The 13364-nt window shown below is 56.8% G+C and overlaps 1 protein-coding gene across 25 annotated transcripts in view, besides 1 other annotated feature; it reads left to right on the top strand.

Annotated features, from left to right (window-relative positions):
- The window catches only part of RAPGEF1 (Rap guanine nucleotide exchange factor 1), a 163302-nt gene that overhangs the window by 142555 nt on the left and 7383 nt on the right, over positions 1 to 13364 (top strand). For all 25 annotated transcript variants that reach the window (NM_001377937.1, NM_001377938.1, NM_001304275.2 and 22 more), the window contains 8 exons: positions 1149 to 1224; positions 5339 to 5423; positions 7544 to 7636; positions 8536 to 8721; positions 9496 to 9580; positions 9692 to 9786; positions 12926 to 13004; positions 13110 to 13211. In NM_001377937.1, coding sequence (NP_001364866.1) covers positions 1149 to 1224; positions 5339 to 5423; positions 7544 to 7636; positions 8536 to 8721; positions 9496 to 9580; positions 9692 to 9786; positions 12926 to 13004; positions 13110 to 13211 — 801 coding nt within the window. The remainder of the gene's footprint in view (positions 1 to 1148; positions 1225 to 5338; positions 5424 to 7543; positions 7637 to 8535; positions 8722 to 9495; positions 9581 to 9691; positions 9787 to 12925; positions 13005 to 13109; positions 13212 to 13364) is intronic.
- Positions 7673 to 8172: an enhancer, noted in NCBI's record as "H3K4me1 hESC enhancer chr9:134464737-134465236 (GRCh37/hg19 assembly coordinates)". NCBI's record gives its function as "activates a minimal SCP1, AML or CMV promoter by ChIP-STARR-seq in naive H9 embryonic stem cells {active_cell/tissue: H9 hESC(naive)}" and the evidence as "EXISTENCE:reporter gene assay evidence [ECO:0000049][PMID:30033119]".

The following is a 13364-nucleotide window of genomic DNA, read 5'->3' as shown; positions in this document are numbered from 1 at the left end:
TGTTTTGGGGCTTCGATTTGATGACACATGGACAAAAGGGCAGATACTGCCCTTTGCGCACTCCCAGGCAAGGATGCGCTGGCTCTGGCCATGGCAGGGAGCAGCCCAGGAATGTGTCTGCGCCTTGGGCTGTCACACACAGGCAGGGCTGATGAGGGTACTCACACAGCTGGGCTCCTCTGCAGAGAGATCCTTGCCATAAATTTCTTCCTTAAAATCAGGTCAAAGGCATAGTTCCTACTCCTAGAGGTAAACCCAAGACAATCTCAGGCCTCTGGAGTCAGGAGGTAAAATACCAAAGCCTAAAAATAAAAAGGTGGGCTAGTCCCGGAGTGTGTACCGCAGCTGAGAGGGCTGGTTCCGTCCCTCCAGCGTTACAGAGCAAGGAGCATTGAGGGCCAGGGGCAGAAACAGGCCTGGGGGGTTGTCCTGGACCTCTGTTCCTGGCCCTAGTCACAGCTCTTTTTGGCTCTACGCTGGGTGGCCTCTGTTTGCCCACATGGAAGCAAGACTTGCTTCTTAAGAGGCAGGTGGGTTGGTGGCAGGTGTGCAGCGTCAGAAGTCATTGAATATTTCTGTCTGTAATGCTTTGCTCTCCTTTAAGGAAGGGCCCCACAGAAGAACCTTGTGCCAATGCAAGTAACTTCTACTTCCACCTGGGGAGACGGATTTAGATGTAGGGCCGCTTGCTGCAGTTTTGGGGAACATGAACATGCTTAGAAATAGTCCTGCTGCCTCCACAGGCATCCTGGGCAAGGCTGGGGACTGTCTTGCCCCCAGGGGGTCCTACCTCACCTCTGACTTGTGGTTTGGTGAGCAAGGAAGGATGGAAGGTGCTATGTCCCCTGGCCCAAGTTGTGTGCTCAAAACAGTGGCATGCCCTGGTGCCTTGGTGCCGGGGCAGCTCCCAGGCCATCCAGCTCCCAGACACAGTCCAGTTTGTGCCTGTCACCAAGCACAAGGTGAGTCTGGAGGGCACCCCTGGCTTCGCAGCGCAGCCACACTGCTCCTGGGCCGAGGAGCACAGAAGGAGAGGGGACTTGGGGTTGCAGGGCATTTTGTCATCTCATTCCTGCCTGTTTCTTCCTAAACTGATTCTCTGAAGGGCATACTCTGCCTCATACCTTCCTTGGCTGTGTTCATTACAGGGTGATGACGGGCCGGACGTCCGCGGAGGATCTGGGGACATCTTACTGGTCCATGCTACTGAGACTGACAGGAAAGGTAGGGTGTCAGTGAGCTCACTAGATTGGGGCTGGTCCTGCCCCGGGTGCCACTCGGCCTCCCACCGCTATCCTGTCCCCTCCTGGCAGCCACAGCCCTGAGCAGGTCTGATCAGCAGTCCTGGTGCGCCTGAGTCAGAGCAGGGAGAGCCCACCTTGGAAGACAAGTAGATCATGTTCAACTCCAGGCGTGCGTGGCATCTGTCCTCCGCTGGTACAAGGTAGTGACCCCAGGGCCTCCAGGGTCCTTGAGGGGCTCAGCGCATACTAAGCGCACCACAGACAGCGCCTTGAGTGATGGCATGTCACCCAGTAGTACTAAACTTAAGATAACATGCAGGTACCTTTTGATTCCTTTCCTGACTGCTGAGTCACTCTATTGTTGCAGACCATTAGACCGGACTTCACTCACATACTCCACGAGGAAATTCTTGAAGGTTTGTTCTGTCCAGGAACCTTCAATTCTGTAGCAGTGGCCTCAGTTTCACAGCACACAGCTGCCCCACCCTACCACGCATTCAGTGTGCTGATTGAGAGGGCTGGAAAAGCAGGGACCGTCCCCTAATCCCTAAAACGTCTTGTTGGGTGGACTCTGCTAGCAAAGTCATTCCCAGTCATGCTCTGGAAAGGAGGTGCTAGTGACCTGATGGGGCATGGCCACAGCACCCTTCACTGCCTGCCCTCAAGGGGCCAGCACCACCTGGCCGGCCAGTCTCTCCACACGCTGCTTCTCTTTTTACGTTTAAAAAAATGATTTAAAAGATGATGTCAGAGCAATGGTGAAGTAAATTGTGGAGGGAATGAAAACACCCCCACCTTGAAATCCTAGCCCAACCCGTTTCATTTCTGTAAGGGACTCTGTCCCTGTGTTTCCTCAGCACGTTTCCCAAAACATGTGACCCAGAGTGACTCGGGGAATTTCTGAATTATGGAAGTAGTACTAAAAAATATTTACATTGCAGAAAATTAGAGAAAAAGAAGAGATGGCTCCCACAAACTCACCGCAGCCACTGCTCCGCCCTCCCCTTCACTGTTCCCTCACCCTTTGTTTGTTCTGACCAGGGCAGGGCCCAGACCTGGCGATGCTGCATCCTAGCCCCAGCTGTGCCATGACAGGCTCAGAGGGCCCCTGGGCAGTCCCCGGGCTTCTCGGCCTGAGCCGACTCCACTTGTTGAAGGGGTGAACGGTGCCTGTTGTTGTGTGGATTACGTGAGGGAGTGTGAAACCTGCCCCGCATGTCAGCGGTGCTGGGGGCGTGATCAGCAGCATCCTGAGCGCCGAGTGCAGCCCTTGCTTGGCTTCTCTGCAGTGAATCCCCCTCCCTGCCTGACATAGGGGGCTCCATACTCAGCCAGGCATGGGAGCGACTTTCATTTCCTTTTTGTCCACAGCGAGGGGCTGAAATGGGAGCTGGCTTCAGACCTCGGCTCCAAAGGGTGAACTCCACTGTCCTGTCGGGTACAGCCAGCTGTGGCCAAGGCTGGAGGGGTCCCTGAGACAGGACAGCCAAGAGGCTTCTGGCTTTTGCTGGCTGGACCTGCTGAGAGGACGCTCCGTGCCGGTGGGAGCTTTGCCTGATTTTACTAGCAGAAGGGTTGGAGGCTCCCCAGAACCAAAGTTTTACGTAGGAAGTATTACTGAGGCAGAAGCCATGGCTCCACTGGGAGGGTGAAGCACCCTGTGGCAGGTAACAAAGCAAGCTCCTTGGGCAGGTGCATCCTGCAAGCCAGAGACTGCACCAGCATCACGAGCAGCTGGGAGCCCCGTGGCTCAGGCCCGTGGAGCCCAGCCTGCCAAGCAGGGCTTGGCAGGGAGAGGCCGTGTGGGGGTGCTTTGTGGTTGCACGGCTCTGCTCTCAGGTGTCAGGACCTGCATGGGAGAAGGTCAGGTCAGCCTTGGCCTCAGGCCTCAGCTTAGATCCTGTCTATCCCTTGACAACTGTGTGCCAAGCCTGTCACTTAGCCCCGGAGCTTCCGATTCCTTAGGAGGAAAATGAGGGACAATTTCGGGGCCTTTTAGGGCTGTCTCAAAGACCAGGTGAGCCAGGGCGCACAGAGTGCTCAGGACCGCATCGAGAGTCCTGTGATCTCTAGAGGGGTGGCACAGCACTGCCCGTCCCAGAAGCCAGGCGCTGTCCCATCTGCCATAATCCAGGGCACAGCAGATGGGGGAGGGCTCTGGAATTGGGCAGACATGGGCGCCGACCCCGCCACATTGCTTGCGGGTGGTGTGGCCTCGTGCCTGGGCTCCTCCTCTCTCGGTAGGGTAACAGGACTCTGTCCTTGTGGGATTGCTCTGGGCATTGAAGGATGTGGCATATGTTCAAGGCATGGCCCAGTGCTCACCAGCGAGTCCCACGAAGTTGTCATGGCTACTGGCAATGATGCACCCGCAAAGGCCAGTTGACTTGGGCCCCTTCTTCCAGAAGCAGGTATGGGTCTATGCTGGTGCCATCTCTGCTTCCTTCCCCAAACTCTTTGAACAAAAATCCAAGCTTGACAGTGAACTGGGTGGGTGTGGGGGCCGAGGAATGAGCCTGAGCACAGTGCGGATGGGCCCTGCTGTGATTCCCAGCCCGGAGCCTCCTTCACCTGCCAGCCCCACCCCACGCAGCCCCCAGTGCAAGAGCAGGCGTGGGTTTTCCTCTCGTTTGATGCAAGAGGGGATGGGGCAAGGGTGGGGGCAGGAGCCAAGCCAGCATGACTCAGCTGGAGATGTGGGTTCCTCGAGATTCCTCTACCCAGCAGCTCGGGAATGAGGGAGAAGGTGGGAGCAGGTGGTCTATGTCCAGAGCACAAGATTTAAGCAGTGCGTGTTTGCACCCAGCCTCACAGTGAGAAGCACAGCTGCGGAGCCTCCTTGGGCCTCACACCTCAGCAGGCACGGGGGGTGGCTGCAGGGAGTGAGTCTGGCCACCCGTTGGCTCAGGCAGTGTCCTACATTTTAAAATTCCACTTCATTCTGTAATATCAGAGACAGCACAGTTGAGAAGGTGTCACCACAGCAAATAAATAGGGCTGTTGTAATTCTGGAAAGTCTGGGAGTCCCTGACTGGTACCAGCCCCCTCTAAGAGGAGGCAGGCATGGAGAGGTGAGGGGTAAGCTGGAGCTGCCAGCCCACACCTGCCCAGTGGCTGGCACCATGCCTCTCCTTGGTACCCGGCCCAAGCCGTGCCTCTTCAGCCTATCCCTTAGGACCCAAAACGTGGAATTTCCCCGGATTTTTCTGATTGGACCCTACCATCTAAAAGTACTGACCAGGCACGGTGGCTCACGCCTGTAATCCCAGCACTTTGGGAGGCCAAGCTGAGTGAATCACTTGAGGCCAAGAGTTTGAGACTAGCCTGGCCAACATGGTGAAACCTTGTCTGTATTAAAATCAGCCAGGCGTAGTGGCGCGTGCCTGTGGTCCCAGCTACTCGGGAGGCTTGAGGCAGGAGAATCACTTGAACCCAGGAGGCAGAGGTGGCAGTGAACCAAGATCGCACCACTGCACTCCAGCCTGAGTGATAGAGTGAGACCCTGTCTCGAAAATAATAATCATAATAAAAATTTAAAAATAAAAGTAAAGCCTAGGGTTTCATTTCAGGATCCTGCTGACGGGTTTGAACAGACGATTTTCTTTGTTCCCATGATGGCTGAGACCCTCTGAAGCATAAAGCCTTAGGACAGGCAGAGCCTCTCAGAGTCTAATCCAGGGCTGGCTCCTACCTGGAACAGGCATGCCACCGGGTTTTGATGCCTAGGGCAGGCGTCACTCGTCAGCCTAAGTGCCCTTTTCCGCTGGGACCAGAGTTGGCCTCAGCTCCCACAGCACGGTTCTCCAGGCAGCACCATCATCGGTAGAAAGTGCCCATGAGATAAAACCCTTTCCTGTTTCCCCTCTCTGATCTGCCGTTTCCTTTGAGAGATGGACAGAGAGGACGTGTGACTTCTCTGGGACATGCAGGCGGAGACACCAGAGGGGGTTCCCAAGCCCTCGGCTCCCTCGCCCATCCCACTCCCCGTGCCATCTCCCCTGCCTCTCTCAGAGCAAGGACTCAAATCCACCCTGGCTACCACCCCCCAGCACTCTGCACCCAGACAAGCAGTTTGCATTGTTTTTTCCCTCTAGATTTGGTGTTGTACTGCGAGGCATTCCTGACCACCTACAGGACCTTCATCTCCCCAGAGGAGCTCATCAAGAAGCTGCAGTACAGATATCCTTTCCTTCCTGACCCAGGGCCCCTGCACCATGGGCATTTTGGAGAGAGAGGGACCCTCTTGCCCTTCAGTCCTCGTGGGGGAAGCCGAGCAGCATATTGGGTGGCAGTGTGATTGAAGTAGGGACACAGGAGCCCCATGGACCGAGGTTCCCACCTCTACCCTCCCGCATTCCAGCTTTGAGCTCAGGCAAGTTCCTCATCTCTAAAAGGGCCGAGTGAAATGATGTGAAGAGGCTGGAACATAGTCTGGGAATGTGTGTCTGGTGGCAGTTGTGGTCATTGGATGATTCTAAAAACGAATTAGACATGCCCCAGACTGGGAGGGGTAAGTGTGCCGGTCCTGCAGACGCCTCTGAGAGACCCTCATGGTCGGCTCCGGCAGCTTCTCAGAGCTGAGCCCCAGGGCGTTGGGCACGAAGGATACCAAGACCCAAATAGACAGCTCAGGGGTCAGCACAGTCACCTTCCCTGGAGCGGACCCTGCGACTGCCACATCCACAACTGGAATGGGCTCCTGTCCCCAGATCTACCCCATGGGCCCACCCTCAGTAAATGTCACCCTCTGCAGTAGTGGCTGAGGAGGACCCCAGGGGTTTGGAAGGACCCACTTGTGTGACCCATTGCCTCTTCAAGTCCAAACCTGCCCATCCTAAGAGGCTGACCTGCAGCTGCTGCTCTAGGAGGGTAGCCTGGGTCAGCTGCTCCTCAGCCACCTCTTTGCACATAGCCCACGGCTGCCATCTGCTGGGCAGCCACCACCACCTGGGGTAGGAAGTCCTGAGTCCACCCGCGCCCCCGCTCCTTCCTGTGTGCCCTGAGCCTTCACTGCTCCACTCAGGGCCTCCTGCAGACCTCCTGGCCTCCTATTCTCCCCTCGTGTTGACCTTTAGAATCCCTGATCTATCAAGACAGACGTGGACATCCTCCATTGGCGGAGCCTCGGGTCCCCGGCAAGTTCTGTTACTCAGAGCACCTGCTCACAGGCCTGACTCAGTGAATGGCTGTCACTCACACGTGTCAAGGACTTGCTGGTCAGGCGAGATGTGCTTTACACCTGTGCTTTCACCTAGCCCTAGCTCTATGACCATTTTTTAATATGTGTGTGTGGGTGTGTATAAAATTACCATATTATACATGGGGCCACTGCTCTATAACTCCCTATTGTGTAATTGAGGAAACCGAGGCCCAGAGACATGAAGGACCTGACCCATGTGGCTGCTTGGTGGGAGAGCAGCCACACGCTGCTTGCCCCCTGCTGCCTGCGCCCAGGCTCTCAGCCTCTGCCTGGCTCAGCCATCATGGAAATATTGCAGCATCAAGGTCTGGGCCTGGTTGGCTGGCGACCCCTGTGCTGTGGGCCAAGACACAGTCCCTGGTACGTTGCTCTGTCCTGAGCCCCATGACTTGGAAGGTCGTGGATCACTAGAGAGCAGGCAGGAGGGTGTCAGAGAGATCTGGGGAGTCGATGGCGAGCACAACAGCCGGGCAGGAAACCCTGACCACAAAGCAGAGCCCGACCTCAGGGCATGAGCTAGAGCTGATCGGGTGCTTGAAGTGCTGCCCTGGAGACAGGGAGCCAATGTGGAGCGTGCTGCAGCTCTGGGAAGAGAGACCCGGCCCGGTGTCACGGAGGTGAGAGTTCCCTTGCAGAGCCCAGGGAGGCAGCCTCAGGATGGAAACTCACAGAAAGACTGGAGGGAGATACTTCTGGCCTACACACCTGCCTAGGGACCTGGGGTTTGGAGGGTGTTTGGTTTGGGCCCACCGTTCTCTACCTAAAGTTCAGCAAGGCACTCTCTACGTGTCTGTAATCTCATGGGCACCTCGGGGTGAACCCGATGGAAAGGCGGGTCTGGACAGTGCAGCGGAGATGGCGTGGCAGGGAGGAGAGGGCAGCAGCCGGGGGCATCCCTGGGGACAGACGCCTGTGCTCAAATCCTGGCTTTGCAGTTGTTCCACTGCGCTAGTCCCGTGCCCTCGTTTCTGGATGCCAGTGCTTTACATGCAGGAAGATGGGCACATTGTGAGCGCTCAGTGAGTGGTCACCAGGAGTCAGTCCTCCACTCCACCACCCTCAGCCGACCACATGGCTATTTCTTTAACCCGTGCTCCACATATGAGAAATTCTCTCCCTTTGCCGACACATTCAAGAAGCGCGTCAGCAAGAACACGTTCTTCGTGCTGGTACGGGTGGTGGATGAGCTCTGGTGAGTGCTTCACCCTTGGGGTCCTGGGGGCCAGTGGGGAGGCAAAGGCTCCATTCCACCTGCTTCTCCTGCCCATCGGCTCTGGGCAGAGCTGGCTCTTGCCTGCTCTATCTTGGTCCTTTGAGAGAATGGCCTGTGCCCGATAGACCAGGGTGAGATGGGTGAGGTGTCTCTCCACCCTGCACCCAGGCCCTGGATTTCCTCATGAGGTCCCTCCTGGACCCTCAGGAGAGAACCCGCCCAACGCACCTGCTCCCATGGTATCTTAGGTCCAGTCTCCAGCAGGCCGTGCTCTCAGCCGCCAGCCATGGTGGAGGCTGTGTGGAGGCTGGAATGGGAGAGGCCACCTCTCCCTCGCTCCTCAGTGTTTCCATGGCTGGCCATCTGACAGCATGGCACTTGGCCATATCCGTTCCGCTAACAAATCTCCATCAGGCGGACTGCCTTCCTCCTGCTGGGGGAGATGACCATGGTAAGTGGCTGTGCGGCTGGGAAATGGCCACGTGTGGACAGTGCTCAGCAGGGCAAGTTGGGGAGCATCTAGTCTGAGAGGCCGGGAAGTCTTGGTGTCTCATTGCCCAATGGGAGCAGCAGCTCCCCAGGGCGGGATTCGTGTAGGACTTGTCCCTGCAGCCCAGGCCCCAGCACAGTCACTGGCGCTTGTCCAGCGCCAACAGATGGCTGTTGAGTGTGTGGCAGGTGCTTGTGACCATCCCAACACCTCCAAGGACACAGGCAGCCATCCCAGGCTCTCGTCTCCTGCTCTCTTCCCATGAGAAATTTCCCAGCCAGCTCTGTGCCGGTCACAGCCCCGTGCCCTTTGTGTGTCTCAAGGCAAAGACAGACTCTGCCTGGGCCTTGCGTTCCTGCTCCTCACCTTGTGCTCTTTTGTCCTTCAGCCTGGTGGAGTTGACAGAAGAGATCCTGAAGCTGCTGATGGAACTGGTCTTCCGCCTGGTGTGCAATGGGGAGCTGAGCCTGGCCCGTGTGCTCCGGAAGAACATCCTGGACAAGGTGGACCAGAAGAAGCTACTCAGGTGTGCCACCTCCAGCCAGCCCCTGGCAGCCCGGGGGGTAGCAGCCAGGTGAGAAGCCCACCTCTCCAGCCCTGCCTCTTCCCCAGGAGCCGTGCCTTTCTCAGTTTACCCTCCCTCCCTGCCAGCCCCACAGCCCCATCCTGGTTCTGCACAGGCCCTTTGATGAGGTGCCTCAGGAACAGCCCCGTGGATCCCTGGGGGCTGGGCCTCTTCTCCAGGAGGCACATATTGGGTGGTGATCCCTTTGTGACCAGGAAGCGGGCAGCAGGGCATGGGGCTTCATAGGACAGGGCAGGAGTGCACACACCCTGGGCTGTGGTCAGTTCTGGGTTGTCCCAGCACGAACATGGCAGTGGTTGATGCCAGTCTGTGGCCCGTCCCCTCGACACCGACGGTGAGTGTCATTTGCACCTATACATGTCTGTTGAGTAGTGGGCTCCTTCCAGTGAGCGCATAGCCTTCGTTTCTTTGGCACCATCTCTGTTCTTGCTGGCCACCTGGAAGTGGGCTCCAGCCGTGAGCGAGCCTTCTTGGCATCTCAACTGTCCATGAGCTCACGAGGGAAACTCAGGCTTCTGATTCCAGAAGCTGCTGGACATACCCAGCAGAAGCAGGAGAGAAAGGCAGACAGTGTCGTCCCGGAGAGAGGCAGGAGGCCATTAGGGCCCCAGGGAGCCTTTTGGGGCTTCCCCGCCCTGTAGCCTCCACGCTCCTGCTGGGCAGAGAGGCTCTCCTGCTCTGACGCCCGCAGCCCGGGCCTGCTCAGCCCTCCCCACCGGCCTCCCCACCCCTGACGGCTCTTCTCACACCTCTGTCTTCCAGGCCGGGGACCTTGCACGACTTTCACAGCCATGAGATAGCGGAGCAGCTAACGCTGCTGGATGCTGAGCTCTTCTATAAAATAGAGGTACAGGCTGCTCCTGCCAGGGGGAGCCACACTGTTTGTCCCTGAATGAGAGAAACCCCCATCAGGGGAAAGCCGGGGCTCCACCTCCATCTGCCTTCTTTCCTTTTGTAGATTCCTGAGGTTTTGCTTTGGGCAAAAGAGCAGAATGAGGAGAAGAGCCCCAACTTGACCCAGTTCACGGAGCACTTCAACAACATGTCCTACTGGTAAGAGAGGCCCAGCGCCAAGCCCTGTTGCTCTGGATGGTGGCACGTCTGGGTGGGCTCTGCGTTTTCCTTTGCAGGGAGCTTGAATGGTAGGAGAAGGAGCTGCCTCTTTCATTCCGCTAAGCTCCTGGGGGTTCCCATGAGCACTGACAGGCTGAGGACAGGGGCAGGGACAGGATGGGGCTTGCTGGAAGTGGCCACCTGGTCGAGGAGGCTCAGCAGGGAAGAGTGCCAGGGTCGAGGAGCGATGTCTGCCATAGGTGGTGTTGGGAAGGGCGTGAGTTTGCCCTCCTGCCCTGGTCACTGCCAGGCAATCTCAAGCTGATGCTCACACTGACTCTGCCTGACAGAACAGTTAGCAAAGGAGTGGGCTCTATAACGTTAATGTTTGCATTTAGTCTTTAATTCGTGTGTGTGTGTGTGTGTGTGTTTGAGACGGAGTCTCGCTCTGCAGGTGTGTGTGTGTGTTTGAGATGGAGTCTCGCTCTGCAGGTGTGTGTGTGTGTGTGTGTGTTTGAGACGGAGTCTCGCTCTGCAGGTGTGTGTGTGTGTTTGAGACGGAGTCTCGCTCTGCAGGTGTGTGTGTGTGTGTGTGTTTGAGACGGAGTCTCGCTCTGCAGGTGTGTGTGTAAGACGGAGTCTCGCTCTGCAGGTGTGTGTGTGTGTGTGTTTGAGACGGAGTCTCGCTCTGCAGGGGTGTGTGTGTGTGTGTGTGTGTGTGTGTTTGAGACGGAGTCTCACTCTGCAGGTGTGTGTGTGTGTGTGTGTTTGAGACGGAGTCTCGCTCTGCAGGTGTGTGTGTGTGTGTTTGAGACGGAGTCTCGCTCTGCAGGTGTGTGTGTGTGTTTGAGACGGAGTCTCGCTCTGCAGGTGTGTGTGTGTGTGTGTGTGTGTTTGAGACGGAGTCTCGCTCTGCAGGTGTGTGTGTGTGTGTGTGTGTTTGACGGAGTCTCGCTCTGCAGGTGTGTGTGTGAGACGGAGTCTCGCTCTGCAGGTGTGTGTGTGAGACGGAGTCTCGCTCTGCAGGTGTGTGTGTGTGTTTGAGACGGAGTCTCACTCTGCAGGGGTGTGTGTGTGTGTGTGTGTTTGAGACGGAGTCTCTGCAGGTGTGTGTGTGTGTGTGTGTTTGAGACGGAGTCTCGCTCTGCAGGTGTGTGTGTGTGTGTTTGAGACGGAGTCTCGCTCTGCAGGTGTGTGTGTGTGTGTGTGTTTGACGGAGTCTCGCTCTGCAGGTGTGTGTGTGTGTGTTTGAGACGGAGTCTCGCTCTGCAGGTGTGTGTGTGTGTGTGTGTTTGAGACGGAGTCTCGCTCTGCAGGTGTGTGTGTGTGTGTGTTTGAGACGGAGTCTCGCTCTGCAGGTGGGTGTGTGTGTGTGTGTGTGTTTGAGACGGAGTCTTGCTCTGCAGGTGTGTGTGTGTGTGTGTGTTTGAGACGGAGTCTGGCTCTGCAGGTGTGTGTGTGTGTGTGTGTGTGTGTGTTTGAGACAGAGTCTTGCTCTGCAGGTGTGTGTGTGTGTGTGTGCGTGCGTGTGTGTGTGTTTGAGACGGAGTCTGGCTCTGCCGCCCAGGCTGGAGTGCAGTGGCGCAATCTCGGCTCACTGCAAGCTCTGGCTCCCCTCAAGCTCCACCTCCCGGGTTCACGCCATTCTCCTGCCTCAGCCTCCAGAGTAGCTGGGACTACAGGTGCTCGCCACCACACCCAGCTAATTTTTTGTATTTTTAGTAGAGACAGGGTTTCACCGTGTTAGCCAGGGTGGTCTCAACCTCCTGGCCTCGTGATCCACCCACCTCAGCCTCCCAAAGTGCTGGGATTACAGGCATGAGCCACCGCTCCCAGCCTAGTCTTTAATTCTTAAAGCAAAATGAATCCCAGTAATGTGTTTATAAACCAGAGCTCTTGTCTCTTCAAGAGGCGACAAAGCCCCCATAGCAGCTCAGCATCAGGCAGGACCCCCTAGAGCTCAGCAGCTGTGCCACCCCCACCCACCCACTGTTGCCTCCAGGAGAATGTCTGATGTGTTTTAAAGGCCCCGAGATCATCTCCCGTTTGCCTATCTTCCTCCCCACAGAAGCACTCCATCCTGGGGAAAAGCATGTTTAGCTATGGCAGTCCAGCGTAGGGTTTTGCCCAACAGGATGTGGTTTCTAAAGCAGACGGAAGCTGCACACAAGGCCCCAAGCCTGGCTTCTGACACCAGCCTCTGGCTGGGTGCAAGAAGCTCAGGGGCACACTCCACAGGGCCTGGCTGCACAGAGGTGCGAGTGCAGTGGCTCACATCTATAATCCCAGGACTTTGGGAGGCCGAGGCAGGAGGGTCACTTGAGCGCAGGAGTTCGAGACCAGCCTGGACAACATAGAGAGACGCCCCCCCCCTACAAAAAATTAAAATTAGCCAAGAGCAGTGGTGCACACCTATAGTCCCAGCTACTCGGGAAGCTGGGGCAGAAGGATCAGTTGAGAACAGGAGTTCAAGACTACAGTGAGATATACTCACAGCACTGGGTGACAGATCAAGACCCTGTCTCTTAAATAAAAAAGAAGAACCAGCAGTGCAAAGTGCGGCACCACCTCCAAGTGACCCTGGTAGTGGCCCCTGTGAACCACAGGAAATTGAGGCCAGGGTGACATCCCTGCTGCATTTATCACACAGATGAGACTGGCCTTTGGCTTTGGTCTCGGCTTTGGTTGCTACTAAGGTTCTGAGAGTTTCCTTCCCTCGTGGCTGCCCAAGGTGACCTCTTACCTCACGTGCTAGCGGGTCTCCCCGAGCCAGTCCTGCATCACACAAGGAACTTGCCCAGCCCCCTGGTACTTGGGGCCCATGCTTGTCAGGAAAGGCTCTGCTTTCATCCTCCCATGCTCCACCTGCAGATTCGAAGCCCCCTTTGGGCCTTCACCAGATTTCCTTATGGTCACCAGATTTATTGTCACCAGATTTCCTTGTGCCTCTGTCCCAGGATGTTATGAGCTCCTGGAGAGCAGAAACTAGATCTATGCCTGGGGCAGGCTGCAGGTATTCAGTAGGGGTGGGCTCGTGGCCACTGGCATGGGGGTCGTACAGGTCCTGTCTCCACCAGGACCCCTGGGACCTGCAGGGACTTGTCAACTCAGCTGTTTCTTTTTCCCTTGGTCCATGCAGGGTCCGGTCCATAATCATGTTACAGGAAAAGGCCCAGGACAGGGAACGGCTGCTCTTGAAGTTCATCAAGATCATGAAGGTAATGGTGGCCAAGTCCTTCCCAGGCCCCCATCATCAGTCCCTGCTCTGGGAGCCCGGGACCCGCCTGCCCTCCTGCCTCACGGCACCGCCCCTCTCTCGGCAGCACTTGCGGAAGCTGAATAACTTCAACTCCTACTTGGCCATCCTCTCTGCCCTGGACTCGGCGCCCATCCGCAGGCTGGAGTGGCAGAAGCAGACTTCAGAGGTGAGTGGCCTTGGGGCGTGGGCGGGAGGGTGGCTGGTAAGGGGGGCCGCCCAGCCCTCAGGCGACTAGCTGTGGCAGAAAGTGCTCCCACTGGAGCAAATGCTGGGCCTAGGCCCCTGCTCTGCCACCGACATGCTGTGTGACCAGAACAGC

This window comes from Homo sapiens, chromosome 9 (genome assembly GCF_000001405.40).
Source record: "Homo sapiens chromosome 9, GRCh38.p14 Primary Assembly".
In the NCBI taxonomy this organism is placed as follows: Eukaryota; Metazoa; Chordata; class Mammalia; order Primates; family Hominidae; genus Homo; species Homo sapiens.
The sequence above is the reverse complement of the archived record's forward strand: the minus strand, read 5'-3'. Positions and strand labels throughout refer to the sequence as shown.